Source organism: Homo sapiens, chromosome 1 (assembly GCF_000001405.40).
Source record: "Homo sapiens chromosome 1, GRCh38.p14 Primary Assembly".
NCBI lineage: Eukaryota > Metazoa > Chordata > Mammalia > Primates > Hominidae > Homo > Homo sapiens.
Window position 1 is genome coordinate 166877395 of NC_000001.11, and position 27083 is coordinate 166904477.

The following is a 27083-nucleotide window of genomic DNA, read 5'->3' on the forward strand; positions in this document are numbered from 1 at the left end:
CCTCACTGCCCAACCTAAACCCACAAGCCCTGTCCTGGCTGCAATGCCAGCCGGGCACCTTCTCTTCACTTGAATTCATACAGTGAGCTCCTATTATGTGTCTGGAACTCTTTGAGTACTGGAGATACACAGGTGAAAGGAGATACAAAGGTCAGGCAAAGTCTTCCTCTCTGTGTCAAAACTCTGGGTAAGTTTTGACACATTTAAAAAATATCCACTTAAGTTTTCCATGGCTCCCCACGCTCTGCTGAACAAATTCCAGACTCCAGCATTCAAATGTTCTCATGATCTGAACTCACCCTACCTGTGTACCTCACACACCACTGGCCTTCCCACATAACCCCACACTTGGACTCAGCATTCTAGTTAACTTGACTTTAACAAATCACATGGCTCTTCCCCTTTACGCATATCTCCTCTCTGCTGGTTTTGAGACTTATGGTTGGCTACCTCCATTTTTTTTGAATCAGGTTCAAACATATATATGAATCTATTCAAGGATCAAGTCAACAGGACTAGGAAAGGCTACAGATAGTTGGGTACATCTTCCAGGAAGAATCCCTGTTTCTCATTTGTCTCTAGCCACGAAGAAAGATAGGCCTCAAAGATTTTCTTTTTGAACCCATGCTTGACAATACTCATACGTCTAGCTCAATTAAATATCCCTTTCTCTCTCAGCACTTATACACCTATTAACACTAATTTTACTACAGTTTTTCAGTTAAATGTCCATTTAAACTGTAATGTTAGACAATATAATATACATAAATGGACATCTGACCAAACAATTTAATATTGAGAGGTGAAGCCGCCTGGGCTTCTGGGCTGGGTGGGGACTTGGAGAACTTTTCTGACTAAAGGATTGTAAACGCACCAATCAGCGCTCTGTGTCTAGCTAAAGGTTTGTAAACGCACCAATCAGCACTCTGTAAAAACACACCAATCAGCGTTCTGTGTCTAGCTAAAGGTTTGTAAACGCACCAGTCAGCACTCTGTAAAAACACACCAATCAGCATTCTGTGTCTAGCTAAAGGTTTGTAAACGCACCAGTCAGCACTCTGTAAAAACGCACCAATCAGCGCTCTGTGTCTAGCTAAAGGTTTGTAAACGCACCAGTCAGCACTCTGTAAAAACGCACCAATCAGCGCTCTGTGTCTAGCTAAAGGTTTGTAAACGCACCAGTCAGCACTCTGTAAAAACGCACCAATCAGCGCTCTGTGTCTAGCTAAAGGTTTGTAAACACACCAGTCAGCACTCTGTAAAAACGAACCAATCAGCGCTCTGTGTCTAGCTAAAGGTTTGTAAATGCACCAATCAGCACTCTGTAAAATGGACCAATCAGGATGTGGGCGGGGCCAAATAAGGGAATAAAAGCTGGGCACCTGAGCCAGCAGCGGGAATACAGTCTGGTGGCCTTCCATGCTGTGGGTGCTGTGTTCTTTCGCTCTTCATGATAAATCTTGCTGCTGCTCACTCTTTGGGTCTGCACTACCTTTACGAGCTGTAACACTCACTGTGAAGGTCTGCAGCTTTACTCCTGAAGTTAGCGAGACCACGAACCCACTGGAAGGAAGAAACTCAGGACACATATGAACATCTGAAGGAACAAACTCCGGACACACCATCTTTAAGAACTGTAACACTCACCGCGAGGGTCCACAGCTTCATCTTGAAGTCAGCGAGACCAAGAACCCACTGGAAGGAACCAATGCCGGACACAATATTATAAATGAATACCAAGCCAGGGGTGATGGCACATGCCTGTAGTCCCACCTACTGGGGAGGCTGAAGTGAGAGGATTTCTTGGGCCCAGGAGTTCAAGTCTGCAGTGAGCTATGAGAGCACCACTGCACTCCAGCTTAGGCAACAGAGTGAGACCTCAACTTTAAAAAACAAATTTTTTTGAAAGGAAATGAATATTAAAACCACTTGTAATTTGGAAGGTTACTTTAAAGGAACTAATTCTAAATCTTTTATTATAGCAATATTTGTACAATGCATAGTGCAACTAATAAATAGCTTCAGAGAATGTGTGTCAAAATGCTTTATAAAGAGCAAGAAACTTGACAAATGTTTAGTCTAGTTTTTTTTTTTTTTTTTTTTTTTTTTTTTTGGATCATCCAGCTGGTTACAGGCTGGTTTGAGAGTAACTAGTAGAGTCAACTCAATAAGTTGCTGAGAACAGACATCTGAGGATCCAACCTTACCTGACATCTAAGTATTTATGAATATTTCTCCAAGTATATGGATTATGTGTGTAAATATGTGTATGTATTCTCCACTTATATAAAATAAAATTTCCTTTATATTATCCATATCTTTTTCCATTTCATTAGATAGATAACTGAAGGTTGGTGGTATTATTCATATACACTGCCTGTTTCTATACAACTTTTTTCCTTCATAAATATAATTCTGTACAAACAAAGGAAAACCCTCTAAAAAGTGTATTCTCATAGCTAGTTTACTTACATATTTATAAGAGCCTGGCCTGTACCTCCTTAATTTTTCCCATTCCTATTCTGTATTTTATTAAGCACTGGTCTTTTAACATTAGGATTTCTTTTTTTTATTGTGGTTAGAACACATAATACGTGATCTTCCCTTTTAACAATTTTTTTTTTTTTTGAGACAGAGTCTTGCTCTGTCACCCAAGCTGGAGTGCAATGGCATGATCTCGGCTCACTACAACCTCTGCCTCCTGGGTTCAAGAGATTCTCCTGCCTCAGCCTCCCGAGTAGCTGAGATTACAGGCACGGACCACCACGCCGCGCTAATTTTTTTTGTATTTTCAGTAGAGATGGGGTTTCACCGTATTAGCCAGGATGGTCTTGATCTCCTGACCTCATGATCTGCCCACCTCAGCCTCCCAAAGTGCTGGGATTACAGGCGTGAGCCACCACACAGAGCCCACCTTTTAACAAATTTTTAAGTGCACAATACCTTATTATTGACTACAGGTACAGTGTTGCACAGCAGATCTCTAGAGTCTATTCATGTTGCTTGACTAAAAGTTTATGATTAGTGACTCCTCATTTCCCCTCTCACCAGTTTCTGTTAACCATCATCCCACTCTTTGAGTCTATAAATTTGACTATTTTAGATACCCATGTAAGTGGAGTCATGCAGCAGTATTTGTCTTTCTGAGACTAGCTTATTTCATTTAGCATAATGTTCTCAAGGTTCATCCATGTTGTCACATATTGCAGAATTTCCTTCCTTTTTAAGGCTAATAGTATTCCATTGTGTATACACACACACACACCTCCCACATTTTCTTTATCCATTCATCTGTCAATGAACATTTTGGTTATTTCCACATCTTGGCTATTGGGAATAGTGCTGCAATGAACATAGGAATGCTAATATTTCTTTGAGATCCTAATTTTAATTCTTTTTGATAAATACCTAGAAGTGGGATTGCTAGATCATATGGTAATTCTATTTTTAATTTTTTGAGGAACCTCTACACTGTTTTCCATAGTGGCTGCACCATTTTGCATTTCTGCCAACAGTGTACAAGGATTTCAATTTCTCCCCATCATTGCCAACACTTGTCTTTTGGATTGACATTAAGATTTGATGTTGAAGGAGTTCTGAGATGTTCCAGCTCCGAAGATTATATAGTTATTATTCTGTCTTTATCCATTATATGATATTTAGATTTAGTTTAGTTTTTTTAATAAATCATAGACTCCTTCTTTACAGTGGCCAGGGCCTAGCATAGCAAAAATATTTGATTGACTTTCTTACTCCACTTACCCATTACCATTGACTCATTAGCCTTCTCAAAGCACTGTCAGCAAATGTGCGAGTTGTTTCCATTTCAGACATCAGCAGCTCTGCTTTACTAGAAGGACTCTTACAGTTCAGCTTTAAAATATTATTAATCATATATTCAATTTTCTTGTTGAACTTATAACATTGGCTGTAATTTGTAATACTTATATGTATGCTGTGGTACATAAGGTACACGCATATGGTAACTATACATATGGTACCTATACATATGGTTATACTGTGGTACATGGTGGCTCAAACTCAACATAAATGTGTGTTGGAATTAAATATTTTAGAAAATTCTATGTAATGTTTTCCTCCTCTATATCTGCATCAGTCTACAGATTTTAATATAGTTAAAGGTTATAAACATGGAATATATTAGGCCCTAGTAAAATTTATGGTTGAAAATAAGTTGAGAGTCATCTTGCCCTGATACTACATCTATTTATTTTATGCCTGATGGAAGGAGGTAAAGAGGTTCTTAATCTTTTTCTTTCAAAGCTATGGATCTCACTGCCAGTCTGGTGATACCTTTGGAGTCCTTCTAAGAATAATGTTTTAATGCATAAATAACGTAGGATTACATTTAAAACAATTTTATTGAACACAGTTCTATCATGGGCCTTTTTGGGGCCCATGGGCCCCAGCTTAAGACCCTCTTAAGTTTTATAGGTACTTGTCTTAGTCCATTCAGACATCTACAACAAAATACCACAGTTTAGGTGGCTTAAACAATTGAAACATTATCTCACAGTTGTGGAGGCTAGAAGTTTCATGTTTGGAAAGGTTTGGAAAAGAACCCCTTCAGACTTCTGTAACCACGTAGCCAAATAAAATTTGGAAATTTTGAAGCCTTTGATCACTACTCAGAATGTGGATAAGAGCTTCTCTACAGTGCTAAAAAATATATGTTTGTATAGTGACGAAGGTAAAGCATTGGAGAAATCTTTGGCACTCTCGGCAGGTAGAGATTCCAAACTGATGCACTGTCACTGAAGTTGCTACTAACATAGCAAGACTATGCTCGATGAAGACTAGACTACTGACATCACCCTCTGGAAGAAGGGAAAGCCACAAGTGCTGATCCAGAAAGATGAATTGCTGTCTGGTGTCGCCCTGAAAAATCTGACCCCAGGGAAGGAACTTGATAAATGAATTTCAGAAGATTTGGCCAGATTTGTTGGTGGAAATGTAGGAGGTGGTTCACTGTCTGGAATTACAGCCACAATTATACCACACAGCATTCTCTATCCTTGAGAGCCAGGACTTTCCCCAAAGTAAGGCGTTCAGTCTTGCATCTTTTGGAGATTTATGCCTAATTTCTTTTACAAATGTTGTTCTCGTGAAGAGATTTTTTTTTTTAAAGGCAAGGTCTAGGTCTGTCATCCAGGTTGGAATGCAGTAGTGCAGTCTCAGCTCACTGCAACCTCCTTCTCCCAGGCTCAAGTGATCCTCCCACTTCAGCCTCCATCCAGCGTAGCTGGAACTACAGGTGTGCACCAGCATGCTCAGCCAATTTTTAAATTATTTTGTTGAGATGAGGTTTCCCTATACTGCCCAGGATAGTCTTGAACGCCTAGGCTCAAACGATCCTCCCACCTCGGGCTCCCTAAGTGGTGGGATTACAGGCATAAGCCACAATGCCCAGCCTCCTATTATGTTGTCTAATTTGATTTGTTGGGACTTCGGAATCCAATGGAGGCAAAATAGCATGGTGTTAAAGTGCAAACTACAGAGCTAGTTTGCCTGAGGCTTGAATCCTGGCTTCTTCTAATTTAGCTGTGTGACTCTGAGCAAGTTACTTAATCACTCTGCCTCAGTTTCCACATCTGCAGCGTAGGGATAGTAATGCTACTTCAGGGTTCTTGTAAAAATTAAATTATTGTAACATGTAAGAGTACATGAAAGCCTTGGCATAGTGCCAGATGTGTAGTAATAGTCAATATGTCATAGCTATTATTATGCCTATCTTGTGTATACTGACATTGCTAAACTCCTTTATTATTTCTAATAGTTTACCGGCAGATTTTTCTTAGATATTCTATCTGGGCAATCATATTGTCTACAGATTAGGAAAAGCTTGCCTTTTTCTTTCCAACTCTTAGGCCTCTTTTTTCATTTTTTGATTTTTGCATTGGCTAGACCAGCTTTGTCCAATAGAACTTTCTACAATGATAGAAATGTCCTAGAGCTGGGTTCTCCAATACGGCAGCCATGTATGGCTATTTAGCACTTGAGATACAGTTAGTGAGACTCAGGAATTGAATTTTTAATTCAATTTAAATTTAAATAACCACCTGTGACTAGTGGCAACAGTATTCAACAGCTCAAGACTAGAACTTCCATTGCAGTGCAGAGCATTGGTACTCACGGTGGGCCTCTTGGCAGAGCACCTGGCTTTCATGGCACTCCTCACATTTCACCAGGAAGTATGATGTTTGTTGTACATTTGGAAAGTCACCCTCTATTCCCAGTTTGCCAAGAAACAGAACCAATAGAAAAAAAGTGTGTGTGTGTTTATTATCGCTCATGAGATTATGGAAGCTAAGAAGTCCCACCATCTGCCATCTGCAAGCTAGAGAATCAGGAAAGCTGGTGGTATAATTCAGTCCTAGTCCAAAGGCCCGAGGAATGGAGGCGACTGCGGGAAGGTGAAGACACGGCTATAAGTCCTGCACTCCTAAGGCTAAGGAGCAGGAAGCCCCAGACCATGGGCAGTGAGCAGAAGGAGACGACGTCTCAGCTCAAGAGAGAGAATTGGCCTTTCCTCTTTCTTTTTGTTCTAGTCAAGCCCTCAACAGATTGGATAATGCCCACTCACTCAGGACAGGAAGGACATCGCGCACTTTCAGGCCGGCTGGTTCGGTCTTGGCCTCGTTGACTTATGTTGACTCTCAAGGGCCGCCACCCAGGCACCTGCCCAGGTGCGTCCTAGGTTCTCTCAGGTTCAGGAACTCACCGGCTCTGGCGGCGCGGGCGGCGCGGGTGGCCCTTGTCCCTCAGGAAGGACTCTCCCTGTGGTCACCCAACTCTAGGCGCTCACGGCCTCTCAGCTGGAAAACCCCGCCGCCTGCAGAAAGCGGGTGTGGGAGGATTAGTTGGCTTTGGGGTCGGGATGGGCGGGCGGCACGGTGCTGCTCTTAGCACTAAAGCGGCTGTTGTCCGAGAAACGAAGCGAGAATGCAGAGCTGGCCCCGGCGCGAGCGAAATGTCTCTGCAGCAGCACCGCTTGCCTTCGCTAGAGGAAGAAGAGACGGCCCTGAGCGCAGCATCACCTCGGCCGGTTGGAGTCTGCCCGGCTGCCGCCAGGGGGTGATGCGCCCTCACCTTTCCTCCAGGATGCCCGGGATCCCAAGGAGGGTCGTGGGTCTCCGCGTCCCAACCTGGAGCCTTGGCCCGGGATGATACCCTTGGCCACCGGCAGCAGGTCTCTGGTGGCCACCTGACGCTTGAGCATTTCTTCTGCGGACCCTGGGAAGTCCTACCCCTTGGACTCATAAAATATCTTGGTTGTCCAAAGGTGCCACTTTCAGACCCTCCAATAACGGCAGGGATAGACTCAAAATCATTGACATATTACAGGCAGGGTTGTTACCTACAGGAAGAAATTGACGAATTGTCACATTTGGGGACAACCTGGGAGCTGCGGACCAAAGGGGCCTGACAGCAGTTGAGTGTAAAGGCAGGGCATACAGAGGCCACCTGTAGAGTTTACCCTCTCCCCCACCCTACCACCCACCTTGGGTCCTGAGTGAGGAAGAGAGTAGAGTGCAACCCATTGTGAGCTCTTTCTCATCAGGCTCTAGGAAATAACAACAGCTGATATGTACGAACTCCCTGCTACGAAGTGGGTCTACTACATTACCTCCTTTAGCCCAAACCATAATCCAGTGAGGTTTGAATTGCTGCTATCCCCAGGCCATAAGTGAGGGAACTGAGACTCAGGAAAGTTCAGTTGCTCTAGGTTACACAGGAAGTGGCAGAGTTAAGACTGGAACCTAGATCTCACTGACACCAGAGTCCATTTTGCCACAATAACCACAAAAATATGTTAACTCCAGTGAGCACTTAATATCTGCCAAGCATTGTACTGAATATGTTTTTTGGCGATGATTTAAAATCCTTGCCACAACCCCCCACAAGGTAGGTACTACTATTGTTACTCCCATTTTACAGGGAGATAAACTAAATCATAGAGAGTTAAGAAAATTGCCCACAGTTACACATCTAGTAGAACTGGACATAAGCCCAGTAAGCCCCATTCCAGAACTCATACTCTAGCTACCATGTTCTACTGCTTACTCTAGTGTGAGTGCCCCTGTCCATTTCTTCCTAAAGATTTCATCTGAGACAAGCTGGAATGGTCTGAAAACTCCCTGATGCCCTCCAACCAATGTAGCTGATGCCATCCTTTCAACCATCCACATTCTACTACACCTCCCTGCAGCTCCATGATTTCTGCACACTGTGGGGATGGAGCTCACGCATGCCCTGCACCCACATTTTGAGAGACTCCCCCTCTACAGGCTGCACTGTCCTCACTAGATGCACATCAGATAGGTAAGAGATTTAGGCAGAATAATCTTTTTTGTTTTCTTTTTCTTCCTCTCCCTCCTTCCCCTCCTCCTCCTTCTCCTCTTGATCTGTCACCTGGTTAATTTTATTTTTTATAGAGATGGATTTTTTTTTTGGAGACAGGATCTTGCTCTGTTGCCCAGCCTGGAGTACAATGGCACAATCATGGCTCACTGCAGCCCTCGATCTCCTGGGCTCAAGTGATCCTCTCACCTCAGCCTCCCAAGCCGCTGGGACTACAGGTGTGTACCACCATGCCCAGTTCTTTTTTTTTCTTTTGTAGAGATGAGGGGACTTTCTGTGTTGCCCAGGGTAGTCTTGAACTGCTAGGCTCAAGCAGTTGGCCAATCTCAGCCTCCTAAAGCGCTGGGATTACAGGTGTAAGCCACTGTACCCAGTCCTGTCTTTTTTAATTACAAATATATGACACCTGAGTTTATTGCTTTCCCCAAGTTACCAATTGTTTTGTAGAGTACAAACCTAGAAAATAGTATCTGAATGGTTGACCCCAGTTCAAGAAGATGAGGCAGGTCTCACCCACATGAAACTAGGACTACTGCAATTTCCATATGTTATTTAAAATGGACTTTGTGGAACTGTACCTTTATGGTAGATCCTAACCCAGCTGGCTTTGCTCTGTTTCCTAGTAGGATTTGCGGGGCTTGCAACTTCAAACAAAAAATTCCAGAAGTGTGCCCTTTGCTACTTCTGCATTATTAGAATCTGTTGGAAGCCTGTGATGTTCCATTTGCCTGTGAAGAGGGTGACAGCTGGTGTAAACCAGGGTCATGAAATTTGGCTGCTTCCATGGCAGTGATTTCAACCTGAGGGATGACTACCCAATACAAAATAGTAATGGCGGTCACTGCTAGATATAACGGACTCCTGGGTAGCCTCAAACCTCAAAGTACTTGTATTGCTTTAGGCCTGCATGGCAGGTTTTTGCAGAATGCCAATAATAGGAGCCTCAACCTTTTCCACTATATGCAGAAAAGAGGACAATGGAAAGAAGGAACTGTCTGTGTATGTTCTAATGCCAAGCAGAGCCAGCTTCTCAACAGATAATAATGATGTTAGGAGACATTTATGAAACACTTAACATGTCCACACAAATTAATGTCTAGTCTATTCCAACAATTTCCATGTTAGGTAGGGGATACTGTGGAACCAACCAGGCCAGGGCAATGGAATCCATTCCATCTGGTTGCTATGGAGAGCCCAAGGGGGACTACAGAAAACATGCAGTGTCTGCCCATCATTTCTGGAGCCAGATATAACCAAAGGAGATTACTGGAATTTGCTTGCTTGAACAGATTATTTCTACTTAATTCACCCTACAATAGCTTTCATAAGAGCAATGGTTCTCAACTTCGGTGTTAGAATCACTTGGGAGAATTTTTAGAAATTCCATGCTCTGGCCGTTCCCCAGAACGATTAAACTAGAATGTCTGGGGAATGGAATCCAGGTATCACTATTTTTCAAAGCCCTCCAGAGATTCTAATGCGCAACCATTCCTCATAGTTTTCCCCCTAAACCTTATTTAATAAGCAATAGGGCACCTATGTGACAGGCTGATAGATGCAGGACACCTACCACATCAGCCAGGGCAGAGGACCCCTGTGGGCTGGGAACCCCAAACATTCCTGGAGAGCCTAAACATTAAGTACACTGAATTAAAGGAGGCAAATTCCAAGATGTTTGCTATGGCTCAAATCAGAAACCAATTTTACAGAATCATTTTATAAAAAGTTATAGATTCTTGTTGAGGGCATTCCAGGATGGAGATAAACTGGCCTCACTCACATGGAGGTGGTTGAGCCTGGGCCTTGTTCCCCAAAGCAGTCTCCTCTGGTAACCAGCTATGAGTTTCCCTTTGGCTATCCCGACGCTTTAAGAAAATTCACACCTGGCTAGGTGCCGTGGCTCACACCTGTAATCCCACCACTTTGGGAGGCCGAGGCAGGTGGATCACAAGGTCAAGAGTTCGAGACCAGCCTGACCAACATGGTGAAACCCCGTCTCTATTAAAAAAAAAAAAAAAAAAAAATTAGCCAGGCATGGTGGCGCATGCCTGCAATCCCAGCTACTCAGGAGGCTGAGTCAGGTGGATCGCTTGAACCAGGGAGGCAGAGGTTGCAGTGAGCAGAGATCACGCCACTGCACTCCAGCCTGGCCTGGGCGACAGAGTGAGACTCCACCTCAAAAAAAAAAAAAAAAAAAAAAAGAAAAGAAAAGAAAAAGAAAATTCACACCTAATATGTGACAATCTACTTTCAGTTGTGCGTAGGGAATTAGGGAAGAGCCTAAAGGTGAACAGATAAAAGAGAAGCAGTCACTTTGTTTAAGCCTACATGGTGGCTGGACACTGCAGGACAGGGTTGGCAGTGGCGTGAGCAGTGACCAGAGCCAGGCAGTGGCAGAAACACAGTGCTGTTACAGACTGGCCTAAACCCTGTGTGAACCCCTTCAGATGCCACGACTGCTGAAGTTCTCAGTGCCCCTGAAAGTGAGGCTGGAAGTTCTGCGTGCAGATGGAGGGGCAAAGAGACATTATTATTTGGACATAATGATGAATGCAACCTCAGCTGTACTCATTAAGGAAGTCACATTTGCCACATATTGGCAATAATCAAATAATTCAATCCCTAATCAAATTCCCCATTAAAACCAAGTTTCACTCCCAAATATATGTGTTTCTCTTGGGCTATAAGTGTTGGACAGAGGTCTTCATGGTTGCTGCAGGGAAGAAATGTATGAGTAGTCTCTCCAAACAACCAAGCAGCCTGGGGATCAGAGGTCCAGGACACTGGGCCGCATATGTGATGTGTGTTATATTGGATGCTAACATCTTTGAATGAAAGGCTGTTCCTATCTGGTGCAGTCATGAGCAGAAATGACCAAATAAAGCTTGTGCTTGTCTTAATCTATGTTATTTGTGAATTGTGAATTATTTTGTCTCTAGTCTCCCCAAACAGTGGGAAAAACCAAGGCACTAACTTCAATTTGGCAAGTAATAGTGTCATTTTGAAACATCTGTAACATACCTGTTTACCTTTTTCAAAATTTTCACTGACAAAATCACACTATCCCTCTAGTCATAATCTGAAGCACTGTGTCTCCATAGTGATGATTCAGGCTCCCGTTGCCATGGTGATCATTCTATGGGCTAAAACACTTCCATCAGTTCTTCCCCTCATTCTCATTACCATTGTCCGTTTCTCAATCCAGGCCCTTATTATGTCTTTGGGATCTAGCACTGGGCCTGACAAATAATAGGTGGTCAATGTATTGAATGAATAGCCCAACTGAGATGATTAAAATACCTCTTACCTCGTCTTTCTGTCTCTAGGCTTTGTCCTGTGGGTTATTATGCCTTATCTTTTCATTTCATTCATCTGTTTTCATTTACTGGCACTTTTACAGAAGGAACACTTGCTCATTTTAGAAAACTCAAACAATTTTAGATACCTACAAAGTTAAAAGTAAACATTCCTCTCCACCAAAATAAATTCCAGCTGGATCAATGATTTAAACATAAAAAAATGATAAAAGTTCCAAAAGAATTTATAATCTGTGGTGAGAAAGGCTGCTTTAAATAAGAACAAAATCCGGAAGCCAAAAAGAAACAAAATTAACATGTTCAACCATATAAACATTTCAAAACGCTGTATGGGAAAAAAAAGTCATAAACAGTCAAAAGATTAATAGCAAACTGGAAAAATGTGTTTGCAGAACAAATGGTAAAAAGTTAAACTTCCTCAATTATCAAAGAGCTTTTACAAGTCAGTATGAAAAAGATGACCAAACCAGGAGGAAAACAGTCAAAGGTTATTAATGTTTTTAGAAAAAGGAACACAAGTGGTCAGAAAACAAATGACAAATTAGTCTCTCCGAATTAAATAAATACAAATAAACAACAATTAATAAATAAGACTCTTTTCACCTCTTTCGCAAATATAGATGTTTAATGACACGTAATGCGACAAACCTAAAGGGAAAATGAACACTTTCCTAAGTCATTGGTGGAAATGTGCATTGGTGTGTTCTTTCTGGAGGATAATTTGACAATATCTTTCAGAATTTAAAATGCACATCTCCTTTCACTGGTAATCCCTCTGGCAGAAATTTACACAATAGATATAGTTGCAAATGTTTAGCAAAATATATGTACAAGAATATTTATTGCTACATTGTTTTGCCACAGCAAAAGACTGGAAACACCCAGTATTCATAAGTGGGGGCAAGTTAACTAAATAACAGTAAACCTGTATGATGGAATAAGGATGCCTCTGTGAAAAGACTGAGGTAGTTCTGTGACCTCAAGAGTCAAAAGAACAAGTTGCAGTACCACATGTAACATTTTTATAAGAACAGACAGATACATATATGGTGTGAACATATGCATTAAAAGAGTTTTTAGAATAAATTACAAAATTAGTTATCTGTGGTATGGAGACTGGTATGAAGACAAGGAAAAAACCTTTTACTTTCATTTTGTATCTTTGGCTCATCAAATTTTTCATCTTAAAGGGAGCCAAGCTATGAGGATGCAAAGGCATAAGAATGATACAATGGATTTTGGGGACTTGGGAATGGGAAGTGGGGGAGGTGGGTGACGGATAAAAGATCATACATTGGGTACAGTGTATACTGTCAGGGTGATGGGTGCAGCAAAATCTCAGAAAACCCCACTAAAGAACTTATTTATGTAACCAAACACCACCTGCTCCCCAAAAACCTATTGAAATAAAAATTTCTTTTTTTCATCTGATACATGTTTCATGTATGACATTTAAAAGAACTATTAGCAGGGGTTTCCTTTACTTCCCTCAACTGCAATGCCCAAAGATATATTTTACATTCAGTTTTTTCTATATGTATATAAGAAAGATGCAAATATGTATCTTTGAATATGCATAATTATCATCTCTGTTGTTAAAAAATGGGGATTATATATAGTTCTGAAATTTGCTTTTCCAAATTTTTATATTATTCACATCTTTCCATTTAAGGACATACTGCATAAAATTTTACAGTAAGAATATGCTGTAACTTATTTACCCATTCTTATATTATAATGTTATTTCTATTTTTTTGGCCTTTACAATTAATTCTGCAATGACCATAATTTTACATAATTAATTTTTGTATGCATGTATTTTTGTAGGACTGATTCCCTAAAGTGGAATTCTAAGTAAAAGCAGAGACGACTGAGGCACAGGAGGTCACAAGAAACCTCCTGCATGCAGGTCATTTAAAATATCTGCTATTATCATGTCTCTTAACCTTCCATTGGACAACACGAGTCATGGAGGTGGTGAATTACACTCTGCCCACAATGTAGCAACGGCAAGGACAGAGACAGAAGGAAGATTTAGGGATATATAATAGAGTTTGCCACATTGCCAGGATGTGTGTATTTTTGGTTTTGTCTTTTTCTTTAATGACATAAATTTCTTGAGCAGCTGCTGCCAGTGTCCCACTTATATCCCCCTCACATTCACCTCTATAAGCCAATGCTGTCACCATGAATATCCAAAAGTTCTGCCTGAGGACTTTTCTTCAGCCCGGCAAAAAAGGATAAGCCAGAAGTTCTGGAGAGTCATGCCCTCAGAAGCAGTTCTCAACTGAAGATGGGCAAGGAGTTGAGGAATAACTAGTCCAGATTCCTCACCTCTCAACTCAGGTGAAGGAGACATTCCTATATAGCCTCCCACATTCACCCATCTGGATTGAGCTCCAGTTGCAGGAAATGATAACTGCCTTAACGATGTATTCTTTATTGACGTCCTTCCTTTCCCTGTCTCACTTTCCCAATAAACTCTCTACAATAAACTACTTTCCTCAAATCCTTATTTCAGGGTATGCCTTTTGGGGAACACGAACCAAGACTGTCTTACTCCAAATATTCATAAATTAATCCCTTGTGTGTTAAGAGTTTGGTGTAAAGATATGTAGAACATATCTATGGATTCTAATTTAGTATATCAATATTAAAGTACAAAATCAAGAGCTTTTTTAAAAATCCTAGATAATTCTTATATATTAGACCTATTTTTTGATATGACATTAAATTCAGAGTCTTTACCTCACAATGACTGTTACTTCTTATTTTCCCACTAAATTCTAACAAGTGAACTCTGAGAAATGCTCAGAAAAAGTGAATCAAATATAAGATGATTCTTCTTCAAAGAAAAATATAAAATTCACTCTACCTTCCTGCCTAGCTTCATCTTTATGAACTCTATGTCCAGGCTCACTTTCACTTTTTGTCAGTTATTTTCCAGGAATACAAATTTATTCTTATGCTATTACTATTATTATTATTATTATTATTATCATTTTTGAGATGGAGTCTCGCTCTGTCACCCAGGCTGGAGTGCAATGGCGTGATCTGGGCTCACTGCAACCTCTGCCTCCCAGGTTCAAGTGATTCTCCTGCCTCAGGCTCCTGAGTAGCTGGGATTACAGGCATGCACCACCATGCCTGGCTAATTTTTGTATTTTTAGTAGAGATGTTGGTCAGGCTGGCCTCAAACTCCTGACCTCAGGTGATCCACCGCCTTGGCCTCCCAAATTGCTGGGATTACAGGCATGAGCCACTGTGCCCAGCCTATTATTTTTGACTAGAAGCATGCTTAACAATTTAATCTCTTATCACAGGGTCTCTGTGACACTCAGAGTCTAGCTAATAAAGGGAAACTATTACTATTCCTAGGGCAAAAGGGACAAAGAGAAGAGTGTTACTCATGAGAATTGAATTATGGAAGATATATCACTCCTCTAGATGTCTCTGCTTTCATCAGAGAGATGACATCAGGACAGATGTAGTGGATTAAATTGTGGCCCCCAAAAGATATGTCCAAGTCCTTACCCTTGGTACCTGTAAATTTCACCTTATTTGGAAATAGGGTCTTTGCAATTGTATTTAAGGATTTCAAGATGAGATCATCCTGGATTTTGGATGGGCTTAACGGGTCCTCCTGCATTTAGGGTGGACACCAACTACTTGTGTCCTTATAAGAGAAAGGAGGAGATTTGAGACACAGAAAGATACAAGGTGAAAAGTCATGTGAACATAAAGGCAGAGATTGGAGTAATGTGTCTACAAACCACGGAATGCCAAGGATTGCCAGCAGCCATGAGAAGCTAGGGAAGAGGTGTGCGAGGGATGTTCTCTAAGAGCCTTCAAGAGGAGCTAGCCCTGTTGGCACCTTGATTTTGGACTTCTGGTCTCCAAAACTGTGAGAGAATAAATTTCAGTTACTTTAAGCTACCCAGTTCACGGCAATTTGTTATGACAGTCCCAGGAAACTAGTATGGCAGGGAAGGAATGGAGAAGAAATACCCTGGCCTCTCTCTCCTCCTGCCCACTGATCTCCTTCCAGTACTTTCCACTGGCCAAACTGAAATGGCAAGGAAGCACAAAAGAGGCAGTCTGCAGAGCACAGCATGCAGTAGATCTAGAGAGGAGCAACTGAAAATCCCAGCACCATAATGAAATAAAAATTACTGTAAACAATAACTATTTTAAACAAGGTAATAAATGAAAGCATACAAGAGACAGCTGCTGAATTGCTTCACCTAGACAACCAAGGCTAAAAATAATTCATTTGCTGTGGGGCTTTGTTAAATCACAAAAGTAAAAGAGAGCATTAAGATCATCCAACCCAAGTGCTTTCTCATTCCGTTCATCAAGAACAGGCTTGCAGAGATTGGTGACTTGTGCACCTTCAGTCAGTAGGTAAGGGAAGGAGTTGGGCCTGAAACAAGATCCGCCCAAATCTCCATCAGTTTCCCCATGGCTGATATGTTATTTTCCTCATCTACAGAGATTTCTGTCCACCAAGAACTCCATCATAGTGTTTTTACATTCTCCATTTTTATGCTGTTTACAGAAACAGAAACTGTCCTTTTCAGATGGGGTCTCAAGCGCAGCCCAACATACCACAGGAAGAAATTGCCCCATCTTCCCTGGAGAAAATGCCACTTGTAGCATCAGGCACCACTGATTTCCTGCAGAACTGTACTATGAAGTGTCCAGAGGTATGGCTGGAGTCAGCATGCTTTAGGACAGCTAGCTAGCTGTCCACACCCTGATTCGCTGATTGAGCACATGTGCATTAATAGGTGCCAGGCCTTGCACCAGACAATGAAGGTGCAGCACCAAAACCGAACACAGTCCTTGCCCTCAAGGGGCTCACAGTCTAGCAGAGAAGATGAATGGCAAATGTGTGAATTGGGGGGTGGCAGGTGCAGGGAGTACCTACCTCACCCATCTTGGGATTCAGGGAGGCTTCTGAGCCATGGAGAATGTAGGAAACTACTTTTTCCTCAAGCACCACAGAAGCTCATGAACAGATATTTTCCTCATTCAATGGCATTGATTTTTTTAATACAATTTATTTCTAGAACAATTTGGGGTTCACAGCAAAATTGAGCAGAAAGTATAGATTTCACATGTATCCCCTTCCCCCTACATACACATAAGCTCCCTCACTATCAACATCCCCTGTTAGAGTGATTCATTGTTACAGTGAACCAACACTGATGTATCATTATCCCTCAAAGTTCATAGTTTACATTAGGCTTCCCTCTTGATGTATGTTCTATGAGTTTTGACAAATGTATAATGACATGTATTCACCATTAAAGTTTAATACAGAATACTTTCACTGTCCTAAACATCCTCTGTGTTCCACCTATCACCCCTTCCTCCCCACTAACCCCTGGCAACCACTGATCTTTTTCCTGTCTCCATAGTTTTGCCTTTTCCAGAATGTCATATAGTTGGGAACCTACAGTATATAGCCCTTTTCAGATTGGCTTCTTTCACTTAGTAATATGCATTTAAATTCCCTCCACATCTTTTCATGACTTGATAACTAATTTGTTTTTAGCATTGAGTAATATTCCTTTGTCTGGATATCCCACAATTTATCCATTTACCTACTGAAGGGTATCTTTGTTACTTGCAAATTTTGGCAATAAAGCTTCTATAAACATTTGGGTGCAGATTTTTGTGTGGACACGTTTTCAACTCATTTGAGTAAATGCCAAAGAATGTGATTGCTAGATCATATGGTAAGAGTATGCTTAATCTTGTAGGAAACTGCCAAACTGACTTCCAAAGTAGCTGTACTATGGTTTCTTTCTGAAACGACTTAATCTTGTACCCAGCAGTACCTGCGTATACACGAGGTATGCTTTCAGCAACTCCAACAAAAAACCTCCCTGCTGGCCAGGTTCTTCCTTCTAATTGTAAGATGTCTCTCCCTCCGTCCTTTATATTTTGTCTTCTTAGTCTAAATCAGAACGTAAACCCCTATACAATTGGTAACAGTTTTTATTGTCATTGATTATGTATACCTTGAATAGGAATAAACATTCTAGGAATGTTTTAATAAAGCAAAATGCAGTGAAGGTTAAGGGAAAGAAGAAGCAGCGTACACAGTTGATTCATGAACTTCCTGTCCCAGGAGTATTTGCTATATGCACGGGGAGAGATTTGTCCTGTTTAATCTAATAAGTGGGGAAGGAGCTAACAGCCACCAGGCATTGAACTAGAACTGGGGATACAAAGGTGAGAAACTGTGTCCTTGAGAAGCTCGCCACTCAGGCATGTACAAACACAATTTCAATATCATATGATAAGTACTATAATTGCAAAAACCATTTTTCCTTTATTTTCAATAGTCTGCCTAGTTGTCAATAGAGGTGTCACATCATGTGTTGCAATCTTTGATGCAGAAAATATACTTTACTCCAAAAGAGGTATTAAAGCACCACAGAAGTGCAGAGGCTTAGAGGAACCTCAGTCTGGAATGCCTGAGATATCTTCACTGAGGAGGCAAAATCAGGCCTTAATGCTGTAGGGGATGAAAGAATATCTTTTCTTCCCATCTTAAGTTTATGGCCGAGGCCCCTATAATGAAAGACAGGTTTACAAGAGAAAAGCATATACATTTATTTAATATATTTATGAACATGGGAGGCTTTGGAAATGAAGACCCAAAGAAACAAGTAGACTTGTATATTATTATGTTTAGGTTTGATGAATCATGGACAGTCATAGAGAAATACAAAGGGAGGACAAAATTGTATAATCTAATGCCGATAAACTGCAGGGAACTTAGCAAGCCCCGTTTGTTCAGATTCTTCTCTGTGTTCTCATGTCTTCATAGATAAGCATACTCCATTCTTCTCGATGTTCCTATGTCTTCAGAGATAAGAATGTTCCTTTGTCTTCAGAGATAAGGAAGGGCACCTCTCAAATGAGGGTCTTATGTCCTGCTTCAGGGCAGACAAGTGATGGGGAGGTGAGGGTAGCTTCTGCTTCTGCTGTTTTCTGAAATGCCAAGGTACCATATTTTAAAGTAGCACGTCCTGAACTCCATCAATGCTCAACAATATATGTCACTTTTTCTGGCTCTGTTACTGAGAGAAGGAACTTTTAAGGCAGACAAGTCAGCATGGACAAAGGTGTAGAAGTGAGAAATAGAATGGTCTATTTGGAGGAAGAGCAGATGGTTTGGTGTGGCCAGAGAAGGTGCTGGTGCTGCTGCTGTTGGCAGGAGGTATGGGATGGCAGGAGATGGGATACAGGTGGACAGGAGTCAGCATGTGAAGGAGTTGGATGCCACAAGCTGGAAGTTTTCTTTGTACTGTAGGCTTGTGCTATTGAACAAGACAGTCAGTGGCTCTCAAGTAGGTAAAATGTGGCTTCTACAACTAAGCGGAAGAATTTTAATTTTTTTTAATTCTGTTCATGTAAAGTCAAAAATGGAAACAGATATATATATATATATATATCTCATGTTGAAATGATATTTTAGAAATTTTGGATCAAATAAATTATATTACTAAAATTAACTTCATCTACTTTTTTTTTTTTTTTTTGAGACAGATTCTCACTCTTGTTGCCCAGGCTGGAGTGCAATGGCACGATTTTGGCTCACTGCAACCTCCGCCTCCCAGGTTCAAGTGATTCTCCTGCCTCAGCCTCCTCAGTAGCTGGGATTACAGGCACATGTCACCACACCCAGCTAACTTTTTATTTTTAGTAGAGATGGGGTTTCACTATGTTGGCCAGGCTGGTCTTGAACTCCTGACCTCAGGCGGTCCACCCACCTCAGCCTCCCAAAGTGCTGGGATTACAGGTGTGAGCCACCATGCCCAGCCTACTTTTTTTACTTTAAAAAAATTAGGCTCCCAGAAACTTTGAAATTACATATGCAGCTTACATTATGTTTCTATTGCACATTGCTGCTATACGCAATTGGGAACCATTGAGAGTTTTTGTGCAGGACAAGAATATGATCATGTTGGGGCTTTAGAATAGCAACTCTGATAGCAGAGTAAAGGATGACTTGGTGGGAAAATACAACTAGCAGTAAGGTGACCAGTTAAGAGGCTATTGCTATAGTCCACATTAGAGCTAATATAGACCTACACAGTGTCAGTAGAGATGGAACAGAGGAGCTGTATTTAAAAGATATTTAGGAGGGGAAGTTGGCGTGGCTTGGTAATGGGTTGGCTGTGGGTGTGTGTTGTATATTAAATAATTTTGCTGGTCTTTATCTCTGGTTCCGGGGAGGTAAACTCTAAACTTTGGGATTTCCTGAGTGACAGGAGTGTCTTTGTTACTTATGCTGGGCTTCCTGGACCACCCCTAATTTATGCTAATGAGGTGATTCATGGTGTGCCCCTAGATGATTTCAGGATGGGGGCTGGCCATGCCAGTAAGATTAACTATGTGATTAAAAGTTTGGAGTTTTGAGCCAAGTGAAACCGACTGGACCTCCCAACCTTAGGGAGGGGAGGAGTGGGGACTTGGAGATTGAGTTCAATCACATGGACAATAGTTCAATCAATCATGCCTACTTAATGACACTCCAATAAAAACTCTGGACAACAGTGCTCAGGTGAGCCTCCTCGTTGGTAATATACATCAATGTCCTGGAAGAGTGACACATTCTGAGGACAGAGAAACTTCACATTTGGGACCTCCCCAGGCTTTGTTCTATGCATCTTTCTTTTGGCTAGCCCTGATTTGTACCTTGATAATAAAATTGTAATTGGAAGCATAATGTTTCCCTGAGTTCCATAAGTTGTTCTAATAAATTATTAAACCTGAAGTAATCATGGGAAACTCCAAAATTTGTAGCCAGTTGGTCAAAAGTGCAGGTGGCCTGGGAACCCTTGAGCTTGCAGCTGGCATCTGAGGTAAGGGCAGTCTTGTGATGGAATGTGCCCTTAACCTGTGACATTTGAACTCATTCTGGGTAGCTAGCATCAGGGTTGCACTGCACAATGAAAGAAAACAAGTTGACAATGACTCCACAGTTTCTAGATTAAACAGTGTAAGACACCCATAGGAAATGAAGTCTAGTTGGGGCACGAATTTGGTATCATGCCTGTTGTTTTTGAGGAGTCTATGGTCTTCAGGGTTGAGATGTCTAGGAAGCAGTGCAGGTGGAATTCAGGAGAGAGTCCAGGCTGGAGACAAAGACTTAGAAGTGTTCCACATACAGGATGTTGAAATAGAAATATTTCTGCCTCAGGGTTCTCTAAAGCCCCTTGATCCCCACATCCACTTTCCTCGGACTCTGCAGATCATTCTGTGTCTTTGTCTTTTCTACCAAAACTCCACCCCAAAGCTATTCTTTTCTCTTTGTGGTCTTCCCACCCTGGCCCAAAGTAGCTCCCAGAACTCTTCCAGCCTGTGTCCAGCCAAAGGTCCAGAATGGCTGGATAACCAGGTGGCTCAAAGCACACCCTCCCTACCTGGTGTGTAATGTAGCTTCTGCTCTCACCAGTGTTTCATCTGACAATCTTTCCACCTCTTCTGGATAAGGAGGGCACACTCTGAAGCTTTGCATATTATTTCTCTTATCACTTGTACATGATATGACATGATGAGATCATTTACTTTTCTTAATGCCAAAGACATTCATTTTTTTTCCTAACAAATATTTGGGTCCCTAGTATGTACTTAGTGTTAAGGAAACAAAGACAAAAAGGAGGCCAGATGCAGTAGCTGACACCTGTAATCTCAGCACTTTGGGAGGCCAAAGTGGTAGATTGCTTGAAGCCAGGAGCTCAAAGACCAGCCTGAGCAACATAGGAAGATCCCATCTTAAAAAAAAAAAAAGAAATTAGCCGGACATGGTGGCACATACCTGTAGTCCCAACAACTTTGGAGGCTGAGGTGGGAGAATCCCTTGAGCCTGGGAGGTAAAATCTGCAGTGAGCCATGATTGCCCCACTGCATTTCAGCCTGGGTGACAACGCAAGACCCTTCTCTCAAAAAGCCAATAATTATGATAATAATAAAAAGATGAAAAAGACATGATTGGCCGGGCGCAATGGCTCACGCCTGTAATCCCAGCACTTTAGGAGGCCAAGGCAGGTGGATCACCTGAGGTCTAGGAGTTTGAGACCAGCCTGACCAATATGGTGAAACTCCGTCTCTACTAAAAATACAAAAATTGGCCGGGCATAGTGGTGGGCACCTGTAGTCCCAGCTACTTGGGAGGCTGAGACAGGAGACTTGCTTGAACCTGGGAGGCAGAGGTTGCAATGAGCCGAGATCGTGCCACTGCACTCCAGCCTGGGTGACAGAATGAGACTCCATCTCAAAAAAAAAAAAAAGAAAAGAAAAGAAAAAGAAAAAGACACGATTGCTATCCTCAAGGAGTTTACAGTCTGGGGGAATTTGAACATACACGTGCTAACCAAATTCTTTGGTTATGTGATTGTGTAAGCTGTAATTGAGTGTAATCTATTTCACTTTACAAGCTGACAGGAGTTAGCAGATTTAAGATGAGCCATGGGCCTTTTTGCTGTCCTCTCAAGAACTTGTTCATAGAAAAAGCTGGATTTCAGAAAATCAAATATTTCTTCATGTTTTATGGCTCAGTTGATACCAAACATTCAAGCATTTAGATCTGCTTTTAAAATCATTTCAAAATATGTATATATTAGCTTTTTTCAATACAACCCTTCTTCTCCTTGCTCTGGTACTTATGTGAATATCTACAAGAGGGCTAGGGGAAGATGAAGAATTATTTTGGGACAAGCTCCATGAGAGCAGAATGCAAACAGATCTGTAAGAGTTCCAAAGATGGCTACATAGGTCAAAGGACAATGCAAGGATTGGCTCTACTCCCTTGATACTTTGAGTCATTTAAAATCCAGCACAGTTGATGTCATCTGGGAGGCTGCTAGAAATGCAGAATCTCAGGCCCCACCTAAATTGTGCTGAATCCTAATTTGTACTTTCAACAAGACACCCAGGTCATTCAAATGTCAGTATATATCTCTCTCCAAAGTTCCACACTCAGGTCAGCCTCCCAGCCTCTCTTCTCTCTATTGCTACCCTTTCATGACCCCCATGGCAGCCTCCTTCTCTCTATTGCTATCCTTTCATGCCCTCCACAGCAGGCTCCTTCTCTCTATTGCTACCCTTTCATGCTCCCCCCACCCCCATGGCAGCCTCCTTCTCTCTATTGCCATCTTTCATGCCCTCCACCCCAGGCCTGTCTCACCCATCGCCCTCTTCAAAAACCCTGAGTTGTTCATGTCTGTCCCTTTTCCATTTCCCACTATTCTTTTGCTCTCTGATGTCTTTTCTCACAAGCATCCTACCCCCACAAATAAAACATTTCATCTCATTGCACACACTTTGAGATTGCCATAGATAACAAATGCAACAGATATTGAAAAGGTAAAATCAACAGGACTCAGTAATTGCTTGGATAATTACAATATTCTCTAATATTAATTTCTTTCTATGAAGCAGATAGGGTTGTTATCCATATTCAAAGATGGGTAAACCACAGCTCAGAAAGGCTACATAACTTGTTTAATTCACAGACCTGGAAAGTGGCAAAGACGGGATTTGAATTCAGGAGGTCTGACTCTGGGACTTGGACATTTGACTCCTGTACTGGTGTGAGAAAGTAAGAGAAGTCTGTGATGATTCCTAGGACTTATATTAATTACCTGCAGTTGATGAGGCCACCAACAGAAGTAGAAAAAATAGATGAAAGTGTAGAGCTTTTGTTTTGTGGGGTGGTATGGGTAGTTCTAAGTTACCGTTACTTTTATATTAAAACTCCAGTTTATTTCTAAGGTTAAATGAAAAATTGCTTGCTTTGGATTTTCCCACCTTCTCCATTCGACTTTTGTAACAATTTACTCTGATGTTTAAAATCCCTAGACCAAGCTCTTCCTGAAGGAATACAAGATGACAGGTGGAGCACACCAAAAGCACATTCAAAAGCAGAAGCAAAGCCCCAATAGCTTTATAGCTTTGCCTGGTCTCTTTGGTCACCTTCCATTTTTAGCAATCAGAGTTGGTGGCCTGGAAGTATAGTCTGTGGCTACAAGGGGCTCACACTCTGTATATCTAACACAAACTAATTGAGCATGCCTCAAATGCTCCACATTCCCCGAGTTTCTCAGGTTCTTGGCAGCAACAACAACGATTGAAAATAAACTCTGCTCCCTTCCTCTTGGGGGAGAACAGATGGCCGGATCCCCATCAACCTTACAATCACTAGGTCCCTCGGGGTTATTACAAACATTAACTAAGAACTTCTCCTACAGCTCATCTCCATGGCCAACTATGAACAGCTTTTGAACAAGTTCCTTATTCATAGAATGACAAGCAAGAAAGCCCCCCAACCAGAGAATCTGTCTGCCTGGAGAGCAGGTGAGGCTTTGACACCAAGACATTATTCTTGCTGGTCCTCTCCTCTTCCCTCCCTCATCCTGAACCAAGGCTCCTTTTGCCCTCAATGGCACTGTCCCAATTTGTTTTTTTTATATTCAAGGGCTGATTTCTCAAATGTTATAGACGTGACTTCCAAAAGGGAGACAGTTTTAGAATCTTCTGTGATCATTCTCTCACAGGCCAAAAGACTGGATTTCTAAAACACAAAAACCAGGGCCAGCAGGGTTTTATTTTTCTGCCTTCTTCCCTAGTTCCCCCACAAGGCTGCTTAGTCTCATTGGTTGCAGACAGATATCTGTGTTAACAAAATACAGCCACTGACATTCACATTACCTCATCCATGCAGCAGTTTTGTCGTATGGGTCCCTTTGATATTAGGAGTGACCTTCCTCCTTGGTGCCAGAGAGATTTTAGCTGGAGTGCAGTGGCGTGATCTCGGCTCACTGCAACCTCCGCCTCCCGGGTTCAGGCGATTCTCCCGCCTCAGCCTCCCGAGTAGCAGGGATTACAGGCATGTGCCAGCATGCCCGGCTAATTTTTCATTTTTAGTAGATATGAGGTTTCTCCATGTTGGTCAGGCCGGTCTCAAACTCCCGACCTCAGGTGATACACCCGCCTTGGCCTCCCAAAGTGCTGGGATTAGAGGCATGAGCCACCAGGCCCAGCCAGTTTCTTTCTTTTGACAGATGCAAAAGTCTCTCTTTTTCTGTGAGATCCTGGACCTCCTCTGTCTGCCAAGGCTGCACATGTCTCTCTCCCCACTTTACAGATTAGGAAGAAGAAATAAAAAGCTAAAGTGCATAACATAAACTCTGAATCAACCCTTCTTCCTGTCCTTCCCAACAGAACCTGAATTTGCCTGGGTGTCATATACTGCCCTCTATGCAACAGCTATGACTCAGAGAGCAGTAACTCCAGGCCTATTCCTTATTCATCTAAGCCAATCAGAGGGCAGTAACTCCAAGCCTATTCCTTATTCATCTAAGCCAATCAGAACATGACAAGCTAAGTCAGAAAGTTCAGGCTACAAAGACTTGTATTATATAATTAGAGAAATGACTTCTCTCTTCCTTGTTGGAGGTGAGTGAGGAAACACATTGTCTCAGTCACCGACCACAAGAGGAACCAGCATTAGAATGAAGCTTAAACTTGAATGGCAAAGAGTAGAGTTAAAAAGATATTGGCAACATATTTAAACTTTTGGAACAACCAATTATTGTAGCCCATTCTACATTTTGTAGGCTAATAAATGTCCTTATTGTTTTTGCCAGTTTATGTCAAGTTTTCTGAGTTTTGTTTGTTTTGCAGTCAAAGCATCCTATCCTACCCTGCACTTCAGTTTTGTCCACCTCAAGAAATTCCACTGCTGTTTCATTAGTTATTCAAGTCAAAGACCTAGGAATCATTTTTTTTTCCTTTTCCTTCACTGTCTCCAAAATTGAATAAATCAACAAGCCTATTTTCTCTACCTCCAAAATACATTCATAATCTATCCTGTATATCCTTCTCCACTGCCATCGTCTTATTCCATTGTCCCCCACACAAAATCTGCATTCGCCCTCCAACTGTTCTCACTTCTTCCACTCTCGTCTTCCTGTAATCTGTTCTCCATACAGAAGTCAGAATGGTCTTTTTCAAACATAGGCCACATCATTCATCTGTTTGAAACTTTCTAATGGTTTCCAACTTAGAAAAAAGTCCACATTTCTCATTGATTTAATTACAGTAAAGACTATATCACTATAATAAAGACCTCAAAATGCAGTGGCTTAAATAAGAGAGAAGTGTATTTCTCTTTCACTTAGTCCAGCCAGGCAGGCCAGTTCTCCATGAGGTCATTTGGGAGCCAGGTTCCTCCCATCTTGTTGCTCCACCATGCCTAAGGCTAGTACATTGTCCTTATTTGCATGGTTGGTCACTCAAGGGAAGGAAGTTAAAGGCAAGTAATTTCCCTTCAGTCAAGTAAGGTGGGTGTTGCACGTATCTCTTCTGTTCACATTGCTCTGGTGATAACTCTAGTCACATGGCCACAACTCACAATAAGGAAGGCTGGGAAATTTAGTCTCTGGTTAGCTATCCAGATAAGAACCTTTTTCTAAGGACAAAAAAGAGAAGAGATTTGGGGAGGGTGCCTAGCACTCTGGCATCTTTATAATGGCCTTCTCAGCCTAAATGATCTAGGTGATGTTGGGGGCCCCTGCAGCCTCTTCAACATCAGCTCCTATGTCCTTCCTTGTTCACTAATTTTGAACCATGATGGCTTCCCTTCTGTTCCTCAAACATTCTGAAATCATGCCTACCTCAAGCACTGTTCACTTGTTCTCCCTTTCCTTGGAACTCTGCCCGATGGTCCTCTCAATCTCAGTTTCTTCTTATCCTTCAAGTAACAGTTTGAAAATGTCCCATCCTTTGAGAGGCCTTCTCTGACCACCCTTCTAATATTTTCCTCCTCTTAACAGTCAATGTCCATGATCCTGAGTTATTTTCAACACTGATCCTTTTATGAAATCATTTGAGTATTTGTGTATTGGCTGTCTCCCTCGCTGGAATTTGAACTCCATAAGGGTAGGGGGCCTTATTTGTCTTAATCTTATTCACTGCTGTAAGCTCAGTGCCAAACCATTGTATAGACATAATTAGTGCCCAACAAATACTTTTTAAAATAACTTGAATAAAAGGATAAGACTCTCCTAAGCAATATCTCCCCATCTTGTCCTTGTGCAATTATCTCTCAGATCAAAATGTGAGATTTTGCATTTATCCCTTCTCATTTCATCTTGTTAGATCTGGCCCATTGCCCTCATCTATAGATCTCTCTTGGGTGTGACTCTGAACCTGCCCCCTGCCAGTGGATCTGCAGGCCCTTCTTACCACTGCATGTTAGTAGGCAGGCAGCCACATGGCTTGCACTGTATCAATTGACACTCAAGGTTCCACACTTCTTTAATCTACACTTCTTGTTCATTGCACCCCCTTTTCATATGA

General features: G+C 41.7%; 1 protein-coding gene across 2 annotated transcripts in view, besides 3 other annotated features; it reads right to left on the bottom strand.

Moving 5' to 3' along the window:
• Positions 6320-6821: an enhancer, noted in NCBI's record as "H3K4me1 hESC enhancer chr1:166852951-166853452 (GRCh37/hg19 assembly coordinates)". NCBI's record gives its function as "activates a minimal SCP1, AML or CMV promoter by ChIP-STARR-seq in primed H9 embryonic stem cells {active_cell/tissue: H9 hESC(primed)}" and the evidence as "EXISTENCE:reporter gene assay evidence [ECO:0000049][PMID:30033119]".
• Positions 6822-7321: an enhancer, noted in NCBI's record as "H3K4me1 hESC enhancer chr1:166853453-166853952 (GRCh37/hg19 assembly coordinates)". NCBI's record gives its function as "activates a minimal SCP1, AML or CMV promoter by ChIP-STARR-seq in primed H9 embryonic stem cells {active_cell/tissue: H9 hESC(primed)}" and the evidence as "EXISTENCE:reporter gene assay evidence [ECO:0000049][PMID:30033119]".
• ILDR2 (immunoglobulin like domain containing receptor 2) overlaps positions 18302-27083 on the bottom strand; it is a 79845-nt gene continuing 71063 nt past the window's right edge. Inside the window, exon 11 of one of the 2 annotated variants that reach the window (NR_199384.1) lies at positions 18302-19036. The gene's annotated coding sequence lies outside the window, so the exon portion shown is untranslated. The remainder of the gene's footprint in view (positions 19037-27083) is intronic. The other variant, NR_199383.1, reaches the window with a different exon arrangement.
• Positions 24602-25102: an enhancer, noted in NCBI's record as "H3K4me1 hESC enhancer chr1:166871233-166871733 (GRCh37/hg19 assembly coordinates)". NCBI's record gives its function as "activates a minimal SCP1, AML or CMV promoter by ChIP-STARR-seq in naive H9 embryonic stem cells {active_cell/tissue: H9 hESC(naive)}" and the evidence as "EXISTENCE:reporter gene assay evidence [ECO:0000049][PMID:30033119]".